The 27,890-nt window shown below is 35.7% G+C and overlaps 1 protein-coding gene across 23 annotated transcripts in view, besides 3 other annotated features; it reads right to left on the bottom strand.

Moving 5' to 3' along the window:
- Positions 1-27,890, bottom strand: part of CNOT2 (CCR4-NOT transcription complex subunit 2) — a 111,976-nt gene that overhangs the window by 81,712 nt on the left and 2,374 nt on the right. The window lies entirely within an intron of this gene.
- Positions 14,183-14,716: an enhancer, noted in NCBI's record as "NANOG hESC enhancer chr12:70652346-70652879 (GRCh37/hg19 assembly coordinates)". NCBI's record gives its function as "activates a minimal SCP1, AML or CMV promoter by ChIP-STARR-seq in naive H9 embryonic stem cells {active_cell/tissue: H9 hESC(naive)}" and the evidence as "EXISTENCE:reporter gene assay evidence [ECO:0000049][PMID:30033119]".
- Positions 15,700-16,200: an enhancer, noted in NCBI's record as "H3K4me1 hESC enhancer chr12:70650862-70651362 (GRCh37/hg19 assembly coordinates)". NCBI's record gives its function as "activates a minimal SCP1, AML or CMV promoter by ChIP-STARR-seq in naive H9 embryonic stem cells {active_cell/tissue: H9 hESC(naive)}" and the evidence as "EXISTENCE:reporter gene assay evidence [ECO:0000049][PMID:30033119]".
- Positions 17,647-17,847: a silencer, noted in NCBI's record as "peak1799 fragment used in MPRA reporter construct". NCBI's record gives its function as "represses an SCP1 promoter by STARR-seq MPRAs in K562 erythroleukemia cells {active_cell/tissue: K562}" and the evidence as "EXISTENCE:reporter gene assay evidence [ECO:0000049][PMID:32103011]".

Raw genomic sequence — 27,890 nt, 5'->3', positions numbered from 1 at the left:
GATCACCTACTTGGTAATCTTCGTAGATAGCTTTGGTGAAATAAATGTACTAACTAGACTGGATTCACAAGAGAACAGGAAGAGAGAAACTGGAGACAAAGTACAGACATCATTTTCAAGAAGTTTTGCCATAAAAGTGAAAAATGGTAATAGCTGAAAAAATTTAGCGTTGACAGAAGGCTTTTTTTAAAGACAGGAAAAATTATGGCACAGAGGGAAATGCTGATGATACAAGATGGAGAGAGAGAAATTACTGGAGTAATGACTCTGAGCAGATGTGGATGGCATTAATAAGAGAATGGCCTTAGATAGGCACAAAGATATATCATCAATAGAAACAGAAACAAAGATAGTAAACAGGAACAGATTCAGGTAGGCCATAGTAATAAAAGCTATGGAAGTTCTCATTCAGCTGTTTCTGTTTTCTTAGTAAAATAAGAAATGAAGTTATCGGGTGAGCATAAGAATATGGGAGGAAGTGTTACAGGTCTGAGGAGGGAGGAAAAGGTCTTCTAAGAAAGGGAGAGTGAAGGGATTAGAGGAACGACAGTAGGTAGAATTGCCAAGTAGTACTAAGGACCCATGGGAGGCTGGTGTTCTCTAGCCACACACAACTGCAGGGATGCAGGAACAGTATAGGTAGAAGCAGACTTAACCAAAAGTTGTGAGTATTAAGAAGCATGAGAGAAGCAACAGACTTAACGGTATAAGCAATATAGTGATTACTAATGATAGGTAAGAAAACAAAGAGTAAGAAAAGAAGTGAGAATATCTCAGTAAGTACTAGCCATATTGCCTTTCTTTGTGTTTCTCAAACACATCCAGTCAGTTCTCAATTTAGGGCCTTTATATTTGCTGCTCCTTTTCAACGATCTTACCCCAAATCTCCAAATGCCAAACTGCTTCTTGACGTTAACATGTCTGCTTGACTATCTCTTTTCAGAAAGGCCTTCACTGAACACCCAACAGTCTGAATTTTGTTCTCATTTGTTTTCTGTCTGTATCCCTGAAGTTCCTTAAGCAGAAGAACCTTGTCTATTAAGCTTATCACTGTTATCACAAGTACCTACAATAAGTGATACATAACAGATACATTTTACTGAATAAATGAAGCACAAGAAATATACTAAATCCTTTACTAACTTTAATTTTATGGAAACATCATTTTCCTTACAAGGACTGCAGCAGAAGCACCTTGTCTAGTAAGAAAAAGACCAGCAACCGGAAGGTTAATTTTAAAAGTTAGTTCCTGCCAAATCAAATACTTTTAAAATACAAATGGACATTTATTCCCCCTTGATAGTCTGACGTAGGACAAGCTTTTGAGTGTAGGATTAGTAATTAACTTTTCACATCATTTTTTGTATAATGCACATCTATAATGCATCTTTTAAGATGTCCAGTTTCAATTTTGTTTAAAGTTGAACAAGACCTTAAAGGCAAATAAATAGCAGAATCTTTCTGAAATTTAACAAATACTTTCTAATTTTTTAATAGCTGTCTCACCATAGCAAACACTCCTGGTTGACACTCTAAAAGCCCTTCTATCTGTGACCACCATAGTTGTCCAAATATTCAAACTTTCCCACATGGTTCAAGAGTAAATGCTGGTCGGGCACAGTGGCTCACGCCTGTAATCCTAGCAGTTTGGGAGGCTGAGGCGGGCTGATCACCTAAGGTCAGGAGTTCAAGACCAGTCTGGCCAACATGGCACACCCCATCTCTACTAAAAATACAAAAATTAGCCAGGCGTGATGGTGGGTGCCTGTAATCCCAGTCGCTCAGGAGGCAGAAGCAGTAAAATCGCTTGAACCTGGGAGGTAGAGGTTGCAGTGAGCTGAGATTGTGCCACTGCACTCCAGCCTGGGCAAGAAACCCTGTCTCAAAAAAAAAAAAAAAAAAAAAAGGAAATGTGATCAGTGTAAGCCAATTTGGTAATCCTATCCCTCTTGTCAGTAATTGATTTATGAAAGGGCATTTAAACCAATCCTGGCTAGTGAGACATAAGGGAAAAACTGATGGTAGGATTCTAGGAAAGAAAGAAAAAACAGACCCTCTTTCCCCAATAGGTGTTGTTATATCAGAATAGCACAACTAGAGCTACTATATCCATCTTGTAACCATAAAGAGAGCTAGCCTGTGGACAAGCTGACACTCTGACAATGGCAGAACAAACAGAAAGAATCTGACCCTGGAATTAATTATTAAACCACTGCATTAACCAACCACACAAAAGCTTCCATTCCTCCAGATATGTGAGAAAATAGTTTTCCATACTGTTTAGTCAATTGAACCAAAAGTTTCCTAAACCTCTGGGCTTATCCACACCTAATCCTTTAGCAATTTGTAAAGAACTTTATATAAGTCCTTCCGAACCATTCACCGTGCTTTTCATTAAAACAATAGTTCTATCTTTCTGTGCTCATATTTTATTCACTTAGATCACATTTAAAGTAAAAATTACATTAACATTGGCATAAAAACTGATTCTTGTTAGGCATATAACTAACCTGGTGGAGAAAAGGGTACAAGGGTAAACTAGAGAGTAGTTTACTAGCTATAAATGCTCAGAATACTCAGGACTAAGAATCTAAAATAATGGTTTGTTTAAAAGAGTGGGTCAGTTAAGTGTAGGTTTAAGAATATTGGTTACAAACATATTTCTGTATATATTAATATCTTTATTTAACAAATGGATATTTTCCTATGAGGAGGAAGAAGGCAACTAAAAAGCCCTATAAAAACTTAGGACTTACATTTCCAGGAGAAACATTAAAATTAGAGTAAACCTAGAATCAAAGAAGTAGGGGTATGAGTCTACTCTAAGAACAGTGGTAGTATACTATTAATGTAAAGAACTTTAACCTCAATATGTGTTGTTTCACTGCTACTGAATTGAGAATATTTGAAAAATTGTGCAATTCAAAATTTTCAGGCAGTGCAGACAAACGTATTGTTTGCTTTATTTATCTAAGAACTAAGTTTCAGTTTATCATGTGTTATACTAAGGATAACTATAGCAGCTTGCCATTTATAGGGGATACCTGTATTCCCTGTCAAGAAATACTAAAGTAAACAAATTATTTCACACAGAAATTTACCAGAGATTTTGAAACAAGTATTTAAAAATAAAATGGTCAAAAATCATTGATACTAATAATCAGAGACTCTTCTAACTTCCTTCCAAAAATACTGAGCCCTACTATATGCCAGGTAGTAAATAAAACTCTGTGTTTGCCAATTGTTCTCTATGGATTTATAAAGCACTAATTATAATTAACACAAGGTCACAAATGGCAATAATATTAAAACCTTTATTAGCAATACTTTTTCACTGAGGAATGTATTTCATATGTATTACACATAACTTATGTTCACCTAATATATATTAGGCACTAAGCCAAATGTCTCATGGGCTGGAAAAGACAGAATTCTTAACCAGGTTCTATAAATCTTCAGTCTTTTGACTGAATGCAGAAGGTACATAAACTTGGCTGGGGTAAAAAAGCTAGAGCTTTAATTTTACAAACCTCTAACTGAAATTTAGTATTTCCTTAATTTAAAATGTAGGTAACAAGCCACAGTGGTGCTAGAGGCACCTGTGATGATTTTTGTTACCACTAGAAACCACAGATATTTTCATATCACTTTAGTTGCTTCAAATCTCAAATTATCATTTATATTCATCACAAGTCTAAAAGTTATTAATACTATATACCAGTAGACTTCGTGTTGATATGCATGTTACTGAGTTTGTTTAGTCAATATTTTAAAAACTGTACTCCAATATAACTGGTGACCTCATAAGCATATGTATTTAATTTTGCACATGTAAACTATTATTGAGAAGGGGTCCACATTCTTCACCAGAGAGCCAAAAAGGTTCATGGAACAAAAAATATTAATAACCTCTGGATGAGAATATCACAGCATGAACAAGGTTGTTGGCAGAGAGTAACTTCGAATAGTAAAGACCTTAAAAAAAAAAAAAGCTTAAAAAAAAAAAGCTTCAGAGCGAAATTGAGTTTAAACACCTTGTTTCAGAGATACATTGTAGTCTGGTAGGCCTAACCTTGTTCAAGGTCTCATACACACAGCTAATTAGTGACAGAGTGAGAGAAAACAGAATCCAGCATTTCTGATTCACAACCCAGGGCTAAATCAACTTTGATGTGACTTGGCTATAAGAAAGCAAGACAGGGCAAAGACACTGAAAATATATGCCAAAAAGTTATTAGGGAAAGACATAAATTATACAGGAAAAAGTGCTACTTTGAAAAAGAAAATGATGGGTGAGATGTTAAAGCATTTTGAAAATATATGTTGCAGCATAAGATGCCAACTCAAGTGTTTAAAAAGACAAGTCTGAAAACAGGTATGATCCTTTTTGCATACCGGACATGTATAAACATTCCAAATGCCATTAAAAATTATTGTTTCTCCCACATTTCTTGAAACACGGACTTATGATTTTGTTTTCCCACTACATAGAAACAGGAGTACAGTAAAAATTTTACTTCTGGCTAGGTGTGGTGGCTCACACCTGTAATCCCAGCACTTTGGGAAGCCAAAGTAGGAAAAATCACTTGAGCCCAGAGTTCGAGGCCAGACCAGGCAACATAGTGAGACCCCATCACTACCAAAAAAAAAAAAATTTTTTTTAAATAAGCTGAGCGTGATGGCACACGCACCCTGTAGTCCCAACTACTTGGGAGGCTAAGGTGGGAGGATCACTTGAGCCCAGAAGTTCAAGGCTGCAAGTGAGCCCTGACTGCACCACTGCACTCCAGCCTGGGAAAAAGAACAAGACCCTGTCTCAGAAAATAACAAATAAATTTTACTTTCTTCTGATCCTTTGATAAGAAAAACCACCACATAGGCACAATAGTAAATATCAAGAATGGCAGTGGGTATCAATGTCAAAGAGACAAGAGAAAGTATCAAAAAGTATGGCAAACTGGAAGGTCCACAGACCACCTAAAGAAGGCAGTTGCTGCTACTCTACTCTAGCTAATTGCTACCGAGAGAACTGTCCACCCAGAATTCTACATGGATCAAAAGCATCCTTCAAAAACAAAGGTGAAATAAAGACACTTTCGGATGAAAGAAACTAAGAGAATTCATTGCTAGCAGACCTGCTATAAAGAAAGGAAGATTCTTTGGACAAAATGAAAATAATACCGGTAGAAAACTTAGAGTTTTATGAATGAATGGGAAAAAAATGGAAAATATGTGTGTGTACATGTCAGACCAGGAGTTGGCAAACTTTTTCGTAAAGGGTCAGATAGTAAATACTTTGTAAAGGGCCAGATAGAAAATATTTCAAGTTTCACAAGCCTAACAGTCTCCATTGTAACTAATCAATTCTGCATTGTAGTGCAAAAGCAGCCAGAGACAATATATAAACTAACAAATGTGGCAGTATTCCAATAAAACTTTATTTACAAAAAGCAGATGTCAGGCTAGACTTGGCCTGCAGCCATAGTTTGCAATCCCTGTGATAGACTATTCTTTTCCTCTTAAATCCTTTAAAACATGATGATAGTTGAAAGCAAGTGACCTCACTGTGTGACGAGTATCTGAAGTATACAAATGTAATACATATGAAACTACAACATAAAAGGGGATGAGTAAAGGGAACTACATGCTGACAAGGTTTCCACATTCCACTTGAAGTGATATAAGTGCAGTGCAGTGAGTTGTGTACTCAAAAAAGATGTGTTCAAGACTTAACCCCCAGGACCTCTGAATTTCACCTTATTTGGCCACAGAGTCATTGCAAATCTCACCAAATTAACAGGAAGTCATACTGGATTTATGAAGGCCCTAAATCCAATGACTTGTGTCTTCACAAAAGAAAGGAGCGATTAAGTACAGAAACACAGTGGGAAGAGAAAGAAGACCATGTGAAAACAGAGGCAGAGACTGGAGTGATGCAGGGATAAGCCAAGGAACACGATTGCTGGCAACCACCAAAACTAGAAGGAAGGTTTCTTCTCTATACCCTTCAAAGGATTTACGGCCCTGATGATACCTTGAGATTTGGGGCTTCCAACCTCCAGAACCATGAAAGAATAAATTTCTGGTATTTTAAGCTACAGTTTGTGGCAATTTATTATAGGAGCCCCAGGAAACTGACATAATAAGTAAATTCTGAAAAGTTAAGAATGTGCATTGTAATCCCTAAAGTAATCTCTAAAAAAAAATACACAAAGAATATACTAAAAAACTCAATAAGTAAAATGCAATATTAAAAGTAGTCAGATAATCCAAAAGATGGCAGGAAAGAAGAATCAATCACATGAGTGAAAAAGCAAATGGAACAAACAGAAAATTTAAAAAAGCAAAGGGTTTATCTAAATCCAAATAGAACAATAATTATATTAGATATAGATAGTCCAAAAGAATGAGATTGTCAAAATGGTTAAAAAAACAAAAAAAAGACTATATGCTGTCTACAGGAAACATACAGGTGAAAAAAGATATACCATGCAAAAAGTAAACAAAGAGAAGCTGGAGTGGCTACCTTACCATCAGAATAAGTACACTTCAGAGCAATTAAAAAATATTACCAGGGCTAAGAAATGTATGTTAAATAATGATAAAAAGGCCAACTTACCAGGAAGACATAATATCCCTTAAATGTGTACGCACTTACAACAGAGCTTCAAGTTAAAAATACCAAAAACTAATAAGCCTGAAAGGAGAAACTGACCATTCCAGCATTACATTTGGAAATTTCAATACTCCTCTAAGTAATTATAAAGCAAGTAAACAAAAGTCAGCAAGGATACAGAAAAACAGAACACCATCATTAACCAACTAGATCTAATTGACATTTATAGAATATAATTTCAACGGCCGGGTGCTGTGGCTCACGCCTGTAATCCCAGCACTTTGGGAGGCCAAGGTGGGCGGATCACCTGAGGTCAGGAGTTTGAGGCAAGTCTGACCAACATGGAGAAACCCCATCTCTGCTAAAAATACAAAATTAGCTGGGCATGGTGGTGCATGCCTATAATTCTAGCTACTGGGGAGGCTGAGGCAGGAGAACCGCTTGAACTACTGCCTCAGCCTCCACCCAGAGGTGGAGGTTGTGGTGAGCCAAGATGGCGCCATTGCACTCCAGCCTGGGCAACAAGAGAGAACTCTGTCTGAAAAATAATAATAATAATAATAATACAACATCAACGACAGTAGATTACAAATTCCTAAAAGGAGAAAATGAAACATTCATCAAATTAGTTGCATCTTAGTTCTTTTAAAAAAAAAAAAAAAGTTAAAAGAATTGAATTCATACAAATATTTTCTGACTATAAGAGAATTACACTAAAAAGTGACATGAGAAACTGGAAAGTATCTCCAAATACATAAAAATTGAACTGTGCATATCTAAGTAATCCATGGTCATAGAGGTATTATAAAGGGAAATTTAGAAATATTTTGAACTGATTGAAAACAAAAATAAAACATACAATCTGTAGGATGTAACCAAATTAGTACTCAAGGGGAAATTTATAATTTCAAGTGCTTATCTTTGAAAAGCTCTCAGGTCAATCACCTAAGCTTACATCTCAAAAACCTTGAAAAAGGGCACAAAATAAACCAAAAGTAAACAAAAATAATAAATAAAGATGAGAGGAAAAAACACAGAAATTGAAAAAAAGAATTAAACAAAACAGAAAATCTAATTCTTTAAAAGGAAAATCACCAAAACTGATGTACCTCTAAGGCAGACTGACAAAGAAAAAAGTCAGAAACTACCACTATCAGGAATAAAAGAGAAAATATAGAACCCACAGGCATTAAAAGGATAATAATACCAGAACAACTCTATAAAAATAAAATCAGCAACTTAGATGAAATGCACCTATTCCTCAAAAAACCTGAAGTCTTACACCTACAGAAACAAATGAACTCACAGTGAAAGAGAGAAAGAAAGAAAAAAGAAAGAAAGAGAAGAGAAGAGAAGAGAAGAGAAGAGAAGAGAAGAGAAGAGAAGAGAAGAAACAAAACGAAACTCCAGGTTTGGTAGTTTTACTAGTGAACTCTACCAAAACACTTAAAGAAGAAGTAATACCAACTTGACATGTTTTCCAGAAAATGGGACACAAAACACTTAAGTCATTTTTGAGGCATTACTGATACCAAAACTAAAAACAAGAAAACAATAACAAACAAAAAAAAATTAAAGACCAATATTCCTCATAAATATAAAGGCAAAAATTCTCAACAAAATATTAGCAAATCAAATTCAATAAAATGCCCAAAGATCTACGAACAAGTAAGGTTTATCCAGAGAAAATAAGACTGACTTAATTGTCAAAATTCAATCAATGAAAAAAAACATAATTGGAGAAAACTGCTTGAAAAGAAAACAAAAACTCAGTGCTCTGGGGAGTGTTCTAAGGGAATACAGCAAACGAAAAACTATTTTATTTTAAATAATCTACTAAATCTCAATAGAAATAGCAAGAATCTATAGTATCTGAGCCACACTGCCCCTTTCTTCCCTCTGCCCGCTCAGCATAATGAAATTTCTAATCCTGGCAGATGGGGTCAAGACAGGGCTCTCTCCCTGCCTAGTTTCCAGTCAAGGGTTAGAGTATCTCTCCAGGACAGACAGGCCAACAGAATTTCTTATACTCAACTCCCTCACTTCTGCCACCAGCCTCAAAACACAGGCAGAGGCTCTACCGTAAACATGACAGGCCTAGAACACAGGGGCCCCATTTGCCTTCAACCCATCTCACTCATAAGACCGTGGTTACACACAGGGATAGGTAAGCCAAAAAGACTAGAGGCTACCACCCTGCCCACTGGTAGTGGCTCAGAGATTCTGCTGCAGAGCAGGAGCAGACCTAAGAGCAGAGAACTCTAAAAGCCTCCCAAAAAGAAAAGACTTTATTTGGGACAGAGTGTAGAGAAGTTCAAGCCTAAGGGTACCCTCAAAAATATGGAGATTTGGGCAGTAAGCAACTAAAAGGAAGCTGGTAGCTCTAAGACAGGAACAAGTTAAACCACGGGCTAGCTAGTGTACCAAAGAGAACTGGGAAGAGAGATAGCTAGGAACAGACCTCCGCAGTTCATAACAAACACTGAAGACTAGCCTCAAAAAAATGCCCCTACAAAGGGGCCAAAATTTAATTTGATCTCACTGTGGAGAAATTTATGCTCCAGAGAACTGTTAATAACAAAAGAGCAGTCACCAGCAGTTAGTAAAGGCTATCATATCTGGGTGTGACACCAACAGAAGCAGAGGTTTTAACAGATATATATAAGTGAAAAAGACAATCGGAAATGGTCCTACTAAAATCACTGTCATCCCAATATAATTGCCCATGTCCAAGGCTGTACCCTCTCATGGGTGACATCAGGCACTTCACACGGCAAGAAATATAAAACTTCATTGAAAAAGCCCAGCCAAGCCATTAAACAAGCAAACAAGCACAAAGGAGAAGAAAGATCAGTATCCAGAGATGCTGCAAAGTTCATGTAAAATGTCCAGCCTCTCGCCCACAAATTATGACATGCAAATAAATAGAAGTAATTCATACACAGGGTGAAAAAGCAGTCAACGAAAACTGCCTGTTTAAGAGCCAAGATGTCAGACTTAATAAAGACTTCAAAGCAGTCGTTAAAAATATATTCAATAATTTAAGGAAATCATGATCAAAGACGTAAAGGAAAGTGTGATGTGACAATGTCTTATCTTTAAGAAAGAGATAAGAAAAAAAGAGATATTATGTAGTTAACAAGTAAAATGAACTGAAAAATTCAGAGGCTCAAAAATAAGAGGGGCTCAAAAGCATATCTGAACCAGGAGAACAAGGAGAATGTAAATTTGACAACAGATTCATAGGGTTGTGCAATTCAGAGAAAAATTAATTAAAAAATGTGAACAAAACCTCAGGAAAAAAAAGCATAGGATACTATTAAGTGAATCAACATATGTGTAATGGGAGTAAGAAGAAAGGAGAGAGAAAAGAACAGAAAAATATTTCAGGAAATAATGGCTGATAACCTCTGAAATTGAAGAAAAACACTAATCTACACATCCAAGAAGAGTTACCAAGTAGGGTAAACAAAACGATTCATGCCCAGAAACATCATAGCACAAAACGTTGGAAGCCAATGACAAAAAGACTCTTGAAAGCAGCAAGAGAAAAGTGACTTGTCACAACTAACTTTTCATTAGAAATAATGGTGGCCAGAAAGATGTAGGATGACATATTCAAAACAATGAAGAAAAAACTGTCAATAAAGAATTTTATATCCAGCAAAACCATCCTTCAAAAAAGGCAAAATAGGCCGGGTGTGGTGGCTCATGCCTGTTATCTCAGTACTTTGAGAGGCCGAGGTAGACAGATTACCTGAGGTCAGGAATTCAAGACCAGCCTGGCCAACATGGCAAAACTCCATCTCTACAAAAAATACAAAAATAGCCAGGTGTGGTGGCAGGCGCCTGTAATCCCAGATACTCTGGAGGCTGAGGCAGGGGAAGTGCTTGAACCCGGGAGGTAGAGGTTGCGGTGAGCCGAGATCACACCACTGCACTCCAGCCTGGGTAACAGAGAAAGACTCCATCGCAAAAAACACAAATAACCGGAAAAAAAAATAAGGCAAAATAAACTTGGAGATTAAGATGGATTGGCAGAATTCACTGCTAGCAAACTTGACAGACTGATAAAAATAATTATGTAATTAGGCCGGGCGCCGTGGCTCACGCCTATAATCCCAGCACTTTGGGAGGCCAAGGCAGGCAGATCACGAGGTCAGGAGATCGAGACCATCGTGGCTAACACGGTGAAACCCCGTCTCCACTAAAAAATACAAAAAAATTGACCGGGTGTAGTGGCGGGCGCCTGTAGTCCCAGCTACTTCGGAGGCTGAGGCAGGAGAATGGCGTGAACCTGGGAGGTGGAGCTTGCAGTGAGCCGAGATTGCGCCATTGCACTCCAGCCTGGGCGACAGAGCGAGACTCCGTCTCAAACAAAACAAAACAAAACAAAACCTAGAAAAAGATGAGCAAACTAAACCAAAAGCAAACAATGGATATAATAAAGATGAGAGCCGATATAAGTGAACTAGAGAATAAAAAAATGAGAAATACTTTTTAAAGTTTATTATCTAAAAAGATAAAGAGATTGACAAACTTTGAGCTAAACTGACCAAGAAAAGAAAAAAAAAGAAAACTCAAAGTACTAAAAACAGGAAAGAAACAGTACATTACTACAACTTTGTAGGGTAGGCATAACAAGGATCGTAAAGAAATAATGTGAACTGAATACTAACAAATTAAATAACTAAAGGGAAGGGACAAATTCTTACAAAGTCACAGACTATCAAAATTGACTTAGGATGAAACAGACAATCTGAATAAACCTGTAACAAGTGAAGAGATTGCATTAGTAATTTTAAAACTTCCCATAAAAAAAAAAAAAAAATCTCAGGCCCAGGCAGCTTCACTGGTGAATTGTACCAATTTTAAGAAAAACTGATACCAATTCTTCACAAACTCTTCTAAAACAGAGAAGAGTTTTGGAACCTGGAACATTTCCTAATTCATTTTACAAGACCATTATTATCCAGTTAACAACATCAAAGAAATCTCAAGAAATGAAAACTACAGACTGATATATCTTATGAAAATAGGCACAAAAACTGGCCAGGCGTGGTAGCTCACGCCTGTAATCCCAGCACTTTGGGAGGCTGAGGCAGGAGGACAACGAGGTCAGGAGATTGAGACCATCCTGGCTAACATGGTGAAACCCCGTCTCTACTAAAAAATACAAAAAAATTAGCTGGGCATGGTGGCAGGCGCCTGTAGTCCCAGCTACTCAGGAGGCCGAGGCAGGAGAATGGCGTGAACCTAGGAGGTGGAGGTTGCAGTGAGCCGAGATCATGCCACTGCACTCCAGCCTGGGCAACAGAACAAGACTCCGTCTCAAAAAAAAAAAAAAAAAAAAAAAAAAAGAAAGAAAGAAAATAGGCACAAAGATCCACAACAAAATACCAGAAAACAAATACAGCAAAATAGGGATTATACAACATGACCAGTTGGATTTATCCCAAAAATTCAAGAACTGTTCAACATCATAAAAACAAAATAATGTAATACAACATATTAGAACAACCACATGATCATCTCAAAAGATGCACCAAAAAAAGCATCTGAAAAAATCTAACAGCCCTTCATAATAAAAGCACTCAACATACTAGAAATAGAAAGGAACATCCTCAAACTGATAAAAGGTATCCATGGAAAAAAAAACAAAAACACAGGTATATACTCAAAGGTGAAAGTCTGAATGCTTTCCTTATATGATCAGAGATAATACAAGGTTGTCCACTAAACAGAATTGCCATTTCTATTTCATACTGTACTAAAGATTCTAGCCAGAACAATTAGGCAAAAAAAAAAAAAATAGAATGCATCTGGATTGGAAAAGAAGAAGTGAAACTACCTCTAATTGCAGATTACATGATATCATAGATAAGAAAATCCTAAAGAAGCCACTAAAAAGATTATTATAAACACATAAACCTAACAAAAGAGCACCGAAATGAATGAAGCAAAAACTGACACCTGAAGAGAGAAAATAGCCAATTCAACAACAGTGGTTGGGAGACTTTTAATACTCCATGTCAATAATGAATACAACAACTAGATACAAGATAAGTCAACAGGAGACTTGAAAATATACAACAGTTTACATAGCAGTTTAATACTTAAGATTTTATTAATAGTAATGTTTTATAATAATTAAGTAAACAAGTGCAACAAGGTTGCAGGGTACAAAATCAATACGCCAAAATTAATTGCATTTCTATACAATAACAATGAACAATCCAAAAATGAAATTAAGAAAATAACTCCATTTCTGAAGCATCCAAGAGAATAAAACACTTAGGTGTAAGTTTAACAAAAGTAATACAAAACATACCATAAAAACTACAAAACATTCTTAAAAGAAATTAAAGTCTATTTTGGTACTCAATTGATTAAAAAAAAAGAAATTAAATAACTATATAAATAGAAAGACATCCCATGTTCAGTTTCAACACAATTCTATCAAAATTCCACCTGGTTTCTTTGGAGAAATTAGCAAGCTAGTTCTAAAATTCATATGGAAATTCATGGAGCAGATACTAATAAAACAATCTCGAAAAAGAACAGAGTTGGAGGATTCTCAAAAATTCCTGTTTTCAAAATTGCAGATCGTAATCAAGGGATACTGGCATAAGGATAGGCATACCAATCAATGAAACAGAATTGAGAGTCCAGAAATAAAGCTTCACATATACAGTCAGCTCATTTTAGAGAAGGGTACTAAGATAAATAAATAGAGAAAACAGTCTTTTTAACAAATACTGAGCTCCAAATCATGCACATTTTTCACTATTATCTCTTCAAATACTCTATACACAAATTTAAGTCTAGCAACATACAAAATCTAGAAGAGGTTTTAGCAGTCTCATGATAAAGGAAAGCGGCAAAACTGGGGGAAGAGGATATTTATTATATGCATTCATTCAACAAACGTTTCAGGCACCAGTTAGAAGAGTACTAGCCAACAAAACAATATCCAACAGAAGTGAACAACTGATACATGCAACATAAATAAGTCATGAAATTATGTTGAGCAAAAGAAGGCACAAAACAATGCAGTACCTACAAACCCGTTTGTTCGAATCTCTAGAAAAAATCTCAAATATACTGACAGAAAGCAGATCTGTGGTTGCCAGGGCCATGATTGGGGTCTCCATGGAATCAGTGAACTTGAGGGTTGATGGGAATATTCTGTATCTGAATGATGGTGATGGTTAAACGGGTGTATAAATTTGTGAAAACTAATTTAAAAAAGGACACTTAAACGGGTACCTTGTATTATATGTAAACTTCCTTGACAAAGTTGATTTAAAAATAAGAATGGTATTAGTTCCTATGGATATTAAAAAAAAATAAGCCCTGCATGAAAACTCACCCTAGATCAACACTAAAAACTAAGCCCGGTCTGAATTTCACTGTAAAAGTGAAAGGCTCTGTAAGTATGCTTGAACAAGAACAGTACAAACAAAAATTCAGGAGGTTTTGAAGTCAAAGACCTGACTCTGGATCTTACTGGCTAGCTTATGTGACCTTGAAGAAGTTAATTACCAGTTATATGCTAGAACCTACCTTATTTACTCAACTGTAAAATGGGAAAAATTCAGCTAACCTCGTGTAACAACTGTGAAGAGTATATACAAGGTATATTTTACTGTAAGTAAAAATGTCCTTATGGTAGCCTAGCAAAGTCTTTCCTCATTTGCCCTTTTCTGTACCCATCTACCATTCTCTTCCTTTCCCACTACACTCTAGCCACACATACTGCTTTGCAATTTTTTAATCATAAGACATCAAGAATCCGTCTCTCTCAGGTTTTTTGTTCTTTGTTGTTGTCCCTTCCTGAAAGCCCTTTCTCCTGAACAAGCACAGGATTGCTCCCTCACCACAGGCTCACGCCTTGAGGGGAAATCAGTGGGAAAGGACTTCCCTGACCAGCCTATTTAAATCTGCACCTCATACACACTCCATACTTTCCCTTAGTTTCTTTTCCTCCTTATCCTTACCACCATCTGTCAGATTATATGTATCTATATAGATTTTATTTTGTACACTGCTATATTCTTTTGGAATAGCACTTGGGGCACACGGTAGGAGTTAAATAAATATTTGTTAAATTAATGAATGAGTAACATAAAATATCTAATACAATACCTAAATATTACTTGTCTTTGCCTACTTCCCACAAGCAAAATACTATTTTCAAATACATCCACAGATATGAAAGTGATTTTGAAGCCCTCCAGAAAACATAAGCTTAATACTGAAAATACAATCTGATTTTAACATAACATCTTAACCTACATTTTCAGTGTTAATACAGTAAATTAAATTAGGCAAAAATTCTTTTAAACTTTTTCACCGTAAGTTTATCCAGTTTAAACCCCTTGGAGATCAGTTTTGATATGGTACTTCTGTATATTAACCCTGTCTCATAATTGTGTGATGCTATTTACTTTTTCTTCCCAGGAAGTATGGAATAATGCTTGGGAGGGGACCACGGACAGGACTATAACATATTACTCTTATTTTGTCTTTATTCTTATTAGTAAGAATGAAAAACATAAACAGAAAACGTGAAAATAGAAGTGAATATAAAATATTGCTTCTTCAGAGAAAAAGCCAAAAAATACAAGTTTTTAAAATTATCAGTTTATAACTTTGAAATTTAGAACTTTTTGTTAACACAACATACTCAGTATCAGTGACAGTAAATTAAAAAGGACACAATTTACACAGAGCTGCAGAGAATGTAAACTGGCACAGCTTTGCTGTAAGAAAAAAAGCAACTGAATATTAAAAGCTTTGGAAGATAACTTTTCATACATCCAACATATTTACATTTGTTAGGCCTGTACGAGTTTTCAATATACATTAATGAACTAGACTGAACTTGTCCCTACTCATGATCTAGTGGTGGAATGAAAGACAAAATTTTTTTAGCGTAATAGCTAATTACAATAGATGCTAGGGAAGAAGAGTCTACTTAAGAAAAGGGTAGTTGGGGCCGGGCGCGGTGGCTCACACCTGTAATCCCAGCACTTTGGGAGGCCGAGGCAGGTGGCTCACGAGGTCAGGAGATCGAGAGCATCCTGGCTAACACGGTGAAACCCCATCTCTACTTAAAAAAAAAAATACAAAAAAATAGCCGGGCACAGTGGCAGGCACCTGTAGTCCCAGCAACTTGGGAGGCTGAGGCAGGAGAATGGCGTGAACCCGGAAGGCGGAGCTTGCAGTGAGCCGAGATGGTGCCACTGCCCTCCAGCCTGGGCGAAAGAGCGAGACTCCGTCTCAAAAAGAAAAAAAAAAAAAAAAAAGGGGGTAGTTGGGGAAAGACTCACTGAGAGTATCCTGTATACTATCGGATGTGCTAAATGCTATACATATGTTGTCATTTACTCCTTCTAACCTCTGAGTTAAGTATATTATACCTGTTCTTACAGAGAGAATACTAAGGCTTGAAAAGTAATCTCACTAAGGACACAGCAATTGGCTAAGCACTGGACCTGCTTACCTCCAAAATTCATATACTTTGAAATGATTGTACTTATAGAAATTTCTTCTAAAGAAATAAATGTACAAACAATTCAGGTACAAGAATGTTCATCACAGTGCTATTTATAAAAGTAAAAAAAAAATAAAATGTTCAATCATACACAATCATTAAATCAGTTATGCTCTGGCCATTAAGAATCCTGTTTTGGATAAATATATGACACTGGAAAATGCTTATGGTGTCAGTTTTGTTTTTTCAATACAGGTTACAAATTACCATGTCTACTCCAATTTCTTCATCACAAAAATGCAAACTTTCATGGATGTCTCTGAGTGGCTTTTTCTCCTCTCTTTATTACAACTCTCCTGCATTTTCACATCCCCCATATTACCTTAATAATCAGAGAGAAAAACGAGAGACTGTAGAGCTTACAAACACATGCATGCAAAGGAAATGGCAATGTTTGCCTCAGTTAACAACGGTTCTCTAGGTTATAGGCTTGGAAGTGATTTTTATTTTCTTCTCTCACCAACCTTTCTACTTTTTCTGTAATAAGTATATGCTATTACCACTTTTTTTTTTTTTTTTTTTTTACCCACAGGTCTCCTTCAGCAGAACCTCACATTTAATTCACTCCATATAAAAATTTAAAAACCAGTAAATAACACTATTACTTCCTTGGTATGCTGTAATAATACATATCAATATACAAGAATCCAAAATTACAAAATAGGTAAGTTATAGAGAAACTTTCTATTACAAAAGAATCTTCCCTTTAAAACAATTTACCTCAGAATTCCAAGTTGAAGTTCCCAAAGTATATTAAAAACTTCTCAAATCATTAATTTGAATCAGATGTTCCAAATCAAAGGAATTAAATACTCTTTTTCTGGGCCAATTGATAAATCTGAAACTATTTTGAAATAGTATTAAGTGACAGAAAAGCAAAAATATATCTTTGCCTTGTCTTGATATTTTAGCATGTACATTTTTGGTCCAAGGCTGGAATATACAATTAGAAATAAAAGCCTTCTTCATCATAAAGCTTAGGATATAAATTATTCTGAGGAATGAATTCCCTAATTACTTTTAGTTAATTCCAGTGAAATAAGCAAACAGCCTTGGATATTGAAAACTGTTCTAAAGTGTGGTAATAATCTTCTAAGAATAGCAAACATAACAGAGTTAACTGAGTATCTGATGCCTGAGTATTTTGCTGTGCCTGACAATCATTATTTAAACTATTGAAATTATAAAGGGGCATATCTTGACCAGAATCTGTAGATCTTCTAGAAGTTCATGTTTTATATTACAAATATGTTTTATAAATAAGTTTTAGATATGAGTTATTTGCTCAATTTTAAATTATTTGCCTTAGTTAATATGAAAGAATTGAATAGCAAACTAACTGAGGATTTAGGGTAGCTGTACTCCAATTTCTAGAGTTTCAGTATATGTTTTTAGAAGAAAAAGTATTTTGCTTGTAAGTGCCTTTGTTACAGTACACGATTAAATAATCAGCACATACAACAAATACTTAATGTCAGCAACTAGATTTTACAAGGATGATAGTAAAAGCAATGCCTTTTCCTACAATGCACGACAGTCATTTTCCAAATTCATTACTCTGTGATTCACTTTCCTTGCTTTGCTACTGCAGCTATTTAGTACTATTCTGCTTGCCTTATATGGTATTTACTTTTAATGCTTCAAAAGGCTCAGTACCCAAGAGATCTTACAGATTTAAGGGACAAAGAACAGCGTAAGTTATTCATACACATATGCACAAGAATACACAAGAGTTTCAAACTACTGCACTGACATTCTCAATGCTCTAACTATAAATTAAAAATGAATTTCAAAAAAACAGACACGATGTTCACAAAAAATACACTTGGCTAACAATGATAAAGAGAAAGGACACAAATACAGTTACAAAAATGGGAATACCCCAAAGATTATCATGATATTTTACCCTAATGAAGCAGGAGTTAAGATGAAGTAAATTTCCTGCTATAGATACATAGAGAAAGCATCAGGACCTCAGCATGCAAAAATACTCAATTAACTGGCCTGCTCCGATGAACATAGCAGAATCTTTTTTTACCACTCCCACAATCTCTCCAAACTCCCCTCCCAAAGTCCAATAAGCCAGTTTTCTTTTTTTCTTCTTCTTCTTTTTTTTTTTTTTTTTTGAGATGCAGTCTTGCTCTGTCACCCAGGCTGGTGTACACTGGCATGATGTCAACTCACTGCAACCTCCGCCTCCCAGGTTCAAGCGATTCTCCTGCCACAGCCTCCCAAGCATCTCGGATTAGAGACACGTGCCACCATGCCTGGCTAATTTTTTGTATTTTTAGTAGAGACAGGGTTTTCCATGTTGGCCAGGCTGATCTTGAACTCCTAAAACTTACAATCCACCCGCCTCGGCCTCCCAAAGTGCTGGGATTACAGGCATGAGCTACTGCGCCTAGCCTAATAAACCAGATATCTATTTAAATAAAAATGCATAAAGGGCAAAGCACCCAAATGCAGCAGCATCACCAGGTAAAAATGAATGAATCATTCAATCATACAACTTAAGAAACTACAGTAGTTCTCCCCTTATCCGCGGTTTCTTCTTCTTCAGTTTCAGTTATTCATGGTGAACCGCAGTACAAAAATATTACATGGAAAATTCCAGAAATAAATAATTCATACGTTTTAAATTGGGCACCAGTCTGAGGAGTGTGATGAAATTTTCTGACATCCCGCTCCATCCCACCTGGGACATGATATCCTTGCTACATATGCTACCCACCCCTTATTCACATTAGTAACTATCTTGATTATCAGACTGACAGATCACAAGAAGTACAGTACAAGAGGTGTTTTGAGAGAGAGATCACATTCATTTAACTTTTTTATATTATATAATTGTTCTTTTTTTTTTTTTTTTGAGACAGAGTCTCGCTCTGTCCCCCAGGCTGGAGTGCAGTGGCGTGATCTCGGCTCACTGCAAACTCCACCTCCCGGGTTCAAGCGATTCTCCTGCCTCCGCCTCCTGAGTAGCTAGGACTACAGGCGCGTGCCACCACTCCCGGCTAATTTTTGTATTTTTTAGTAGAGGCGGGGTTTCATCGTGCTAGCCAGGATGGTCTCAATCTCCTGACCTCGTGATCTGCCCGCCTTGGTCTCCCAAAGTGTTGGGACTACAGGCGTGAGCCACTGCGCCTGGCCTATTTTATTATTAGCTATTGTTGCTCATCTCTTATTGTACCTAATGTGCAAGTTAAACTTTATCATAGGTATGTATGTATAGGGGGGAACAGTACATATAAGGTTCAGTGCTATCTGTAGTTTCAGGCATCCACTGGGGTCTCAGAACATATTTCCCCTTGAATTAAGGGGAAACTACTATACTAGTTTCACTACAGTAACTAATAATCAGGAATAATTATCATGATACTTTGACATGCTCTACAGTTAAACACTTTTTCTTTCATTATCTGAGTTGCCATCAGCAACACTGGGAGGTATAAATTATCAAACAGCTGAGGCTCTTCAATACTAATTGATTTGTCCAGGCACACAGCTAGTAAGTTTATAGAGCCCAGACTGGAACCCATCATCTGAATCAAAGTGTGAAGTCTTTCCAAAATAATATATTATCTCTTCATTAAAGATGAGCACGTACTCAATGGTACATTTCTCAACTTTCAAAAAAATAAATAAAAGGTGCTAAGTGTTTCTTCTGAACTTCCAGGATTTTTGCAATTTTTGCTCTAAATAAAGGAAATGGCATGGGAACCAACAACAGTAAATACCTACTTGTCAGGAGTTTTACAGGGTCATATTTAAACCTACTAAATACACTTAAGGGAAGAAAATATTTTATTAATTTTAAGGAAGAAAACAGGCACAGAAGAAAAAACTACTACAGGTAACTAACTCTGCACTATTCAGGTTGAAAAAGGTAGACACCAGTCTGTCTGAATCCTAACCCATTAGATTTATCCCACTTAACACAGGAATTATTAAATGCCTATTATGTGCCCTGTGCTTTGCCAAGTACTACAGACAGAGCAATATGACGATTTATTTATGTTACTCAAAATATTACACATCTTACTTCACAGAAGGTCATCTAAACAAAATTCCTGGTAGGAAAAACATGTTTAGACTCTAAGAGCAAGACTGCATTCTTGTTTACATTTACGAATCTGATACAAAAAAGAGTATAGTGCACTCTATGAAATAAATTGTGGCTAATTCTTGTATACCCCAGAAGCTCCTCTTTAACCTAACAAGTCCCACTCCAAAACGAACACGAACAAAAAACCCACAAAAAACTTTAATCCTTACATCAGTTCTACTGGGTAAGTATTGTTATTTATCTACATTTTTCTTTGTTTTTATTTATTTATTTTTATCTACATTTTTCAAATGAGAAAACTGAAGTATAGGGAGAATAAGTCACCTAGCCAATTGAAAACAGTACAACGGTGATTCCATTTCAGGCTGGTTAGTTCCAGGCATTATGAACATCATGTAAAATTTCAGAATATAACTCTCTTTAATAGCAGATAGATCAGCTCCATTTTACTCAGTCAAAAGTGAACTAAATAGACAATCAGGCTACGTGGGCAGCTCTAAATGCCATAGTTGAACCATTAACTTTTGTTATGATAAAATAGTATATAATGCATACAATAAAAGCAATAATTTAGGCCAGTAATCCCAGCACTTTGGGAAGATGAGGCAGGCAGATGGCTTGAGCGCAGGAGTTCAAGACCACCCTGGGCAACATGGAGGAACCCTGTCTCTACAAAAGATACAAAAATTTGCCGGGCATGGTGGCATGCGCCTGTAGTCCCAGCTACTCAGGAGGCTTAGGTGGGAGGATTGATTAAGCCCAGGAGGTCAAGGCTGCAGTGCACCGTGATCATGATACTGCATTCCAGCCTGGGTGACAAAGTGAGACCTGTCTCAAAAAAAGAAATAAATAAATAAAAATAAAAATAACTTGCTGAAACTACATTCTCAGAGAAGCAATTCTTTCTCTTTAAAAACATTAATTTAGGATTTGTTTCTGCATGTCAATTAACAGATAATGCTAGCAACCTAATATATCCAAGTGTTATATATTTTGAGAAACACACAAACACATATCATAGCATTGTAAAATAAGCACTTCTAGTAACATAACATAAATATCAGCACCTATGTAGGGATTTTATCACTGATTTAGATTTTCTTGGTATTATTTCAATTTATCCAAGAATGTTAAATCTCATGCCTAACACATTACATCAGATGATAATACTCAAACTTTGCCTGCCCCAAAACGTATACAAAAATTCCACCCCAGTAACGGAAAAATCTTGAACAGTTGGCATTCATTTACATATATAACAAGTTCTCTAAAAGATAGACTACAGAGTTTCAAAGTCATACAGTTCTTAACAAATAAAAATCCTGCTTATATGAATGCAAAGTACTCAATTTGTTTAATGGAGAGAAAATAATCTTTCAAAAATGTCATAAACATACACCATTAAGCTTATAATTTTAATTGTAAATCGACTGTGGAATCTAAACTTTCCCCTGAAACACGAATCTGCTTATCAATCTCACTGGCTTTTTTTTCCCCTCCTAATGGTTAATGGTTCCCTCATCACATAAAAGATAAGACCTCATACTGTGGCTACTTCATTCCTTCAACTAACTTCTCCTATGAGGTCCCAGAATTCCATCAAGGGCTATGGAGGATTACCTCACCATTCTCCAAATCTAGAACATTTTCCTAGGATTTGTGCATTTACAATGCTGATTCCCTACCCTCCCCCACCTAGTTAACTACAAATCACCCTTCAGAACCCAGAGCTCACTTATCACCTCCTTGAAGCCAACTCATTAACTCCCTGAAACAAAGTTACTCTACTCTAGGATGTTTCTACAGTATGACAAAAATTTAACTTGAGGAATTACGCAGTGCAACTATAATAGTGCACAGCACAAAGTAACATTTATTGGACTGTACAAGAAAATCTAATTAAATATGAAACTTATTACTAATTTCTAAGAAAAGTATAGGTTTTATTATTCTACATAAACACATGAATTAAGGAAAGTTTTCAGTTTGCTTTCCTATGTCATTTTCCAGTACTCCAGACAGACCACCCCTCAACCCCTGCAATTCATCTGATGTAGAAAACAATTTCAAGGCACCTTAATAAAAAATAATCCCTCCTTCCTATTGCTCTTTGTAAAACCTATTACAGATTACTGGGTCCACCACAATATTTTCTGAAGTGAAAGACACAGATCATTATGCTTTAATCACCTCTTCTCCCCTTTAGAGCTTACCCCCATTTATGCAGAAAGCACTAAGTAATTGTTTATGAAATTTCTTATCTTCAAACATACAAAACTTGACCCTATCTCAGGGCCTTCTATTACTTCTGCCTGGAAAACCATTCAACCACATTTCTGCATGGCTTACTCCTTTCTGCTCAACTGATACCTCCACAGAAGTCTTCTCTCATCACCCTACTTAATCTTTTTTCCATTTCTAATCAATTGCTGTACCTTTATCCCCCTTTATTTTTTCCTAAGTTACCATTACCTGAAATTATGTTTATTTATTTGTTTACTGTCTGTCTCCTCCTCCAGAATGTTACATTAATGAAGGTGGAGACTTGTCTGGATCACCGTCATATATCCAATAACAATGTCAAGCAGAGACTAAACACTCATATTACTAAAGGATTTACTTGAAAACATCTAGAGTGCTAACATATAACCAGCAGAGCCTCAACTTTAAATTTAATAAACAATTTCTATCCAAATACTACTAAAAAGCAGCTAAATTATATGAATTTTGCATGTGCAGGGAATAGAAAAAGAACTTTTAAAATACACAGAATTTTACTGTTGGAAGTGACTTTGGTGATCGAGCACAGGGATTTTCAAACTATGCTCTGAAACATCTTAGTGTTTCACTTATTTGTGCTTCACAAATTCATTTAAGCATTGGATTACAATTTTTTTACACACATCCATCCATTTTAGGATGAGTCATATACACACACAAGTGCATTGTATACCAAACTTAAACACTTTAAAGACTATCTCAGATGTCAGGTTAACCGGTTTGCTGTAGCAAATAGTTTGGCCTGACATAAATATACCTAGAATTTCTCATAAGCAAGCATAGATTAGAAAGATTATGGCTCCAATTTTTTTTCTAATTTCAGGCCAGACATGTTCATTCCCATAAAAACTACACCCCTAAAGCATTACTTTGTGCAGTAATCTGTTCGGCATATGATTACCTCAGAATAATGGTGCAATAATATGTAAAGTGTAGCATCAATGATATGTTATTACCTATTCTCATTATAACACAGTATTTGCTTTTAAGTTTTTAACGTTTCTCAGTGAATGTTTCTAATTTTTAAAAATATGAGCAGCTGTTGGATATTGTCAGAAAAGTCAAGCTTGAAACAAAAATTTCCTACTGCTGCTTGTCTTTCAAACTTCTGCATCAATTTGATTAAATATCCAGGATCTGCAAGATGATCAGATGCAAACAAAAACAAGTCTTCCATTAACATCTATTTGATTTAATAAATCACGATTTTCTCTATAAAGTAGCGCTAAAATAAATGAGAAAGAAATTAGACTCTGAGTCCAGTCTGAAGATGAAAACGGCCTTCATAATTCCCAACTTCTAATTTTCTTATTGACCAAAATAGCTTGTTTATAAACATAAATGCTAAGTTTTAAACTTATTTTAATATATATAAAATTAAGATAATGTATATAAAAGTCCTCTCTGCAAGCTGTAAAACATTTTAAAAATATTAAGTAGCAAAGCCAAAAGTAGTCAGGTGCTTGGAATGGCATAGTAAACTTAATATTTTATTTTACTGACCTATGAAAGATTCTTACAAGCAGAAAACTAAATACAAAATTTGTATGCAGGATAGGCATTATAATTTACAATGTAGAAAGTAATACAAAAGCACATTCTTGCCAGATATGACACAAAACCAAATGCTCCTCTCTCAAACACATTGTATTACATAATCAGTCATTACATTTTGTCCAGATGCTAATACAAACTGGAGCTGTTTCAACATCTGAATACACAAATGGAAAAATAGTATATCAATATGTTTGAAAAACAAGCAAGTCTACTCACTGTTACCTAAATTGCCAGGATACATAATTTTCCCTCACTCATTTTATCATTAGTTTTTACTAAGTTTTAGTAAAAACTTACTAAATGTGCATTTTCATCTACTCACGTATAAGGAAAGACATTTCCATTCAGAAAAGGCAGAGAAAGGACTGGTGTCCTGAGTACTGGATCATACTCCCTTTTTAAAAATATACACTCTGTATCTTTGGCAGCTCTTAGTCACTAAAAGGTCTCTGGAACATATACAGGCAATTAAGACATAATATTCCTAAAATCATTATCAATATTAGCATATCTACTAAAATGCAATTCTGAGAGTCATCTATCCTGTTTTGATTTCTACATCTCTAAAATGGGCAGAAAATTGGCTCACAATCTCTTAAACAAACCTATAAAGGCCAGATGTTTCTCAAAACACAGTTTCAGATTTGAGAAAGGTAAAATGTTGTATGTATCATATATGATGTAACATCTGCCAATGGCAACACCTGCAGTCAAACACGTGAACATTTCCATATGAAAATGTAGGAAAATCAGATTAAGAAAGATAATAATAATCAAATTCACAGGTATAATTCCAGTTGATATTTTCTCACCTTGCTTATTCAAAACAAAACAAAAGAAATGATCAACTTTCAGAGCTTTTTAAATTTTGGACCTCCAATAAGACACATCTCACCTTATTTCCATAAGGGCAATTTTATTCAAACTAGAGAAATCCTGCTTTCTACTAACCAATGGGCCAGGCATTAGGAGGAAAAAGGTGAGAAAAACAGAATCTATCTTCAGAAGCCCCAAATCTAATATGAGCTCATGGGTAAGTACTGGTAAACATGATACCTTGTAAAGACAAATACAAAATATCTCCTTCACATAATAGCCATAACCATACAAAATACAGCGAGAAATGCAAGAAATACAGATCTAAACATCCTGCCAGAAGCAAAACAGGGTATTAATCACTCTATTACTAACATCCTTCCCTAATTCCATACTAACTTTACACACACTTCCCTAAGAAGCTAGTTATCTATTTTTCCATATGTAATTAAGAAGCAAAACTGTAAGAAAGGATTCAAGGAAGTGAAGGAATACAGGAAGCTATTCTCCCCACCACTTTTCCAATCTGTTGCTTCAGATCTGTGGATTGTGAAACAGCACTGTCAAATGACAATCTAGCAACAGTTCAGTTTAATAGATACGTATTGAGAACCTATTAAGTATTATGCACTATAGAGGCATTCAAAACATAAACATAAACAAGTCAAGGCCATACCTCTCAGGTGCTCCCAGTCCAGATGGACAGTAAATTACAATACAGTGTGACATTCTATAATAGAAGTTTGAAGAGTAAAAAGCAATACAGCAAAGGATTTGGGGAGTCAGGAAAGATTTATGAAGAAAGTGATACCAAAGAGGAGTATGGAAGAAGTTCATCAAACAACAGAGAAGTGAAAGATACATAAAATATGCACTACCACCTGCCCCCCACACACATACATGCAATAACATACACATGAATAAAAAGAATAGGACGGGCGTGGTGGCTCATGCCTGTAATCCCAGCACTTTGGGAGGGTGAGGCAGGCGGATCGTCTGAGGTCAGGAGTTTGAGACATGCCTGACCAACATGGTGAAACCCTGTCTCTACTGAAAATACAAAATTAGCTGGGTGCATGCCTGTAATCCCAGCTACTCAGGAGGCTGAGGCAGGAGAACCGCTTGAACCCGGGAGGCGGAGGTGGTAGCGAGCCAAGATCACGCCATTGCACTCCAGCCTCAGCGACGAGCAAAACTTCGTCTCAAAGAAAAAAAAAAAAGAATAAGGAAAAGAAAATGTGCAGGGTTAAGTGGCAAATAGTCCAAAATATCTAACTATATATCTAAGTGGACTTAGATCCTGAGTCTACGCATATACAAAACCCTGAAGTGCCCAGAAAAGGAAAAATTTCCCATTTTTTCCTAAATAATTCACTTTTTTGTATTTCCATATTATATGTCATAAGCTCTTGACAAAAAGCAAACATTGTAAACTGTTTTATTACTTTATAATGCAGCACACCCCCAAGGGATATACCAACAGATACCAACAGATTTGCATCTGTATTTCAGAGAACAAGCTCTCAGAAAACACAGTACAAATTCTATTTCCAGGACATTCCTAATAGTATAGACAAAGAAAATAAATGAACAAACCACATCAGCATGATTAGTCATAAGAGTTGAATTCTAAAATAGAAATCAAAGGATGTCAAACAGAAAAACCAAAGAAATAAAAACCTAACTTTCATTCCACTTCAAGGCAAACTTTCTACAATGACATCAACTTTAGCACAGCTCTTTTCAAAATATCTGATATAAGTCACAGTGAAATTCAATCCCTTTAAGTATCACAGGTAGAAACTGCTCTTAGTAAGGAAGAACAGTCACCTGTATCATCAAGCAGAATAAGTTCTACCATAGCACTAGATCTCTTGATTAACACTGTATGTAATTCCACTCAAACATTACAGTACACCTCATATTAACTCTGCCCCTAAACTGCCCTACCTGGTACCCTGGATATTCTGCCTCTTTGTGTTACAAAATCCACTACAGATCCAGGTAACAAATAACATCATAAATGTTTGGTGGTATATTTTCCTGAAATCTCAGGAAAATAACCTGTCCTCAAATGCCTATTCAAGCAAGCACATGGCATTGTTAGTTTGCCTTCAAATATGTGATCCCAACAGAATGAACTTTCTACAGTTACAAATTTTAACAACAAAAAAAAGCTATTATTTACCACTGCTTTTAAAGAGCAAGAAAATAAATTGTAAGCTAAGTTCTTTTCATTGGTCTATTAATGCTTACTCATTATTTCATATATACATGTGAAGCATACATTTTATTCATATTATCAGAAAATCTTATGAAGTAAGTCTGTCACTAGAAAAGATAAAACTATAACTTATACAGGTTGTAAAAAATTCTGTAATGGTCTTTCAAAATACAGGTACTTTTAACACCAGTATCTACTAAAGGAATACAAATGAGAACTGGGTTAGAATCACTTCTAATAAAATCTATTCATACACCTGAAAATTTTATTTACTTTTGAACAAATAATTTTCAGATTACAATAACTGTAAAGCATCTCTGAAAAATCAAAAAGTGCAACATCCAAAGTTATAAAGCAAAAACAAAGGTAATTAGTTCTTGTAGGGAGGTATATGGGAAGTTGTATCATTCTGAATTTTTTTGTTTTTGTTTTTTGCCCAGCATCAGAAGATAAGCCACAATCTGAGTTTTATCTTCAAGAGCAGGTACTTGGGGATATAAATCACTCATACACAAGCATTTTGCCCTCATTTTTCCACCATGTAAATTAAAGTATTATAGAAATTGAAAAATTGTATAGGCTGTATTTGTTGCTTGGTTAAACAGGCAATTCTCATTCCCTGAGATCAGATTAGGTTACAGATATCTCTACATTGTATACTTAGAAAAAGATTCCTGCCAACAAATGTTTACATTAACTTATTTGTATTGATAAAGCACTAATCAAGATGCAAAAAAAACTTCAGCAGTTTCTCACTTCCTCTCTAAAATAC

Source organism: Homo sapiens, chromosome 12 (genome assembly GCF_000001405.40).
Source record: "Homo sapiens chromosome 12, GRCh38.p14 Primary Assembly".
Classification (NCBI taxonomy): Eukaryota; Metazoa; Chordata; class Mammalia; order Primates; family Hominidae; genus Homo; species Homo sapiens.
This window is presented reverse-complemented; position numbering and strand designations above follow the sequence as displayed.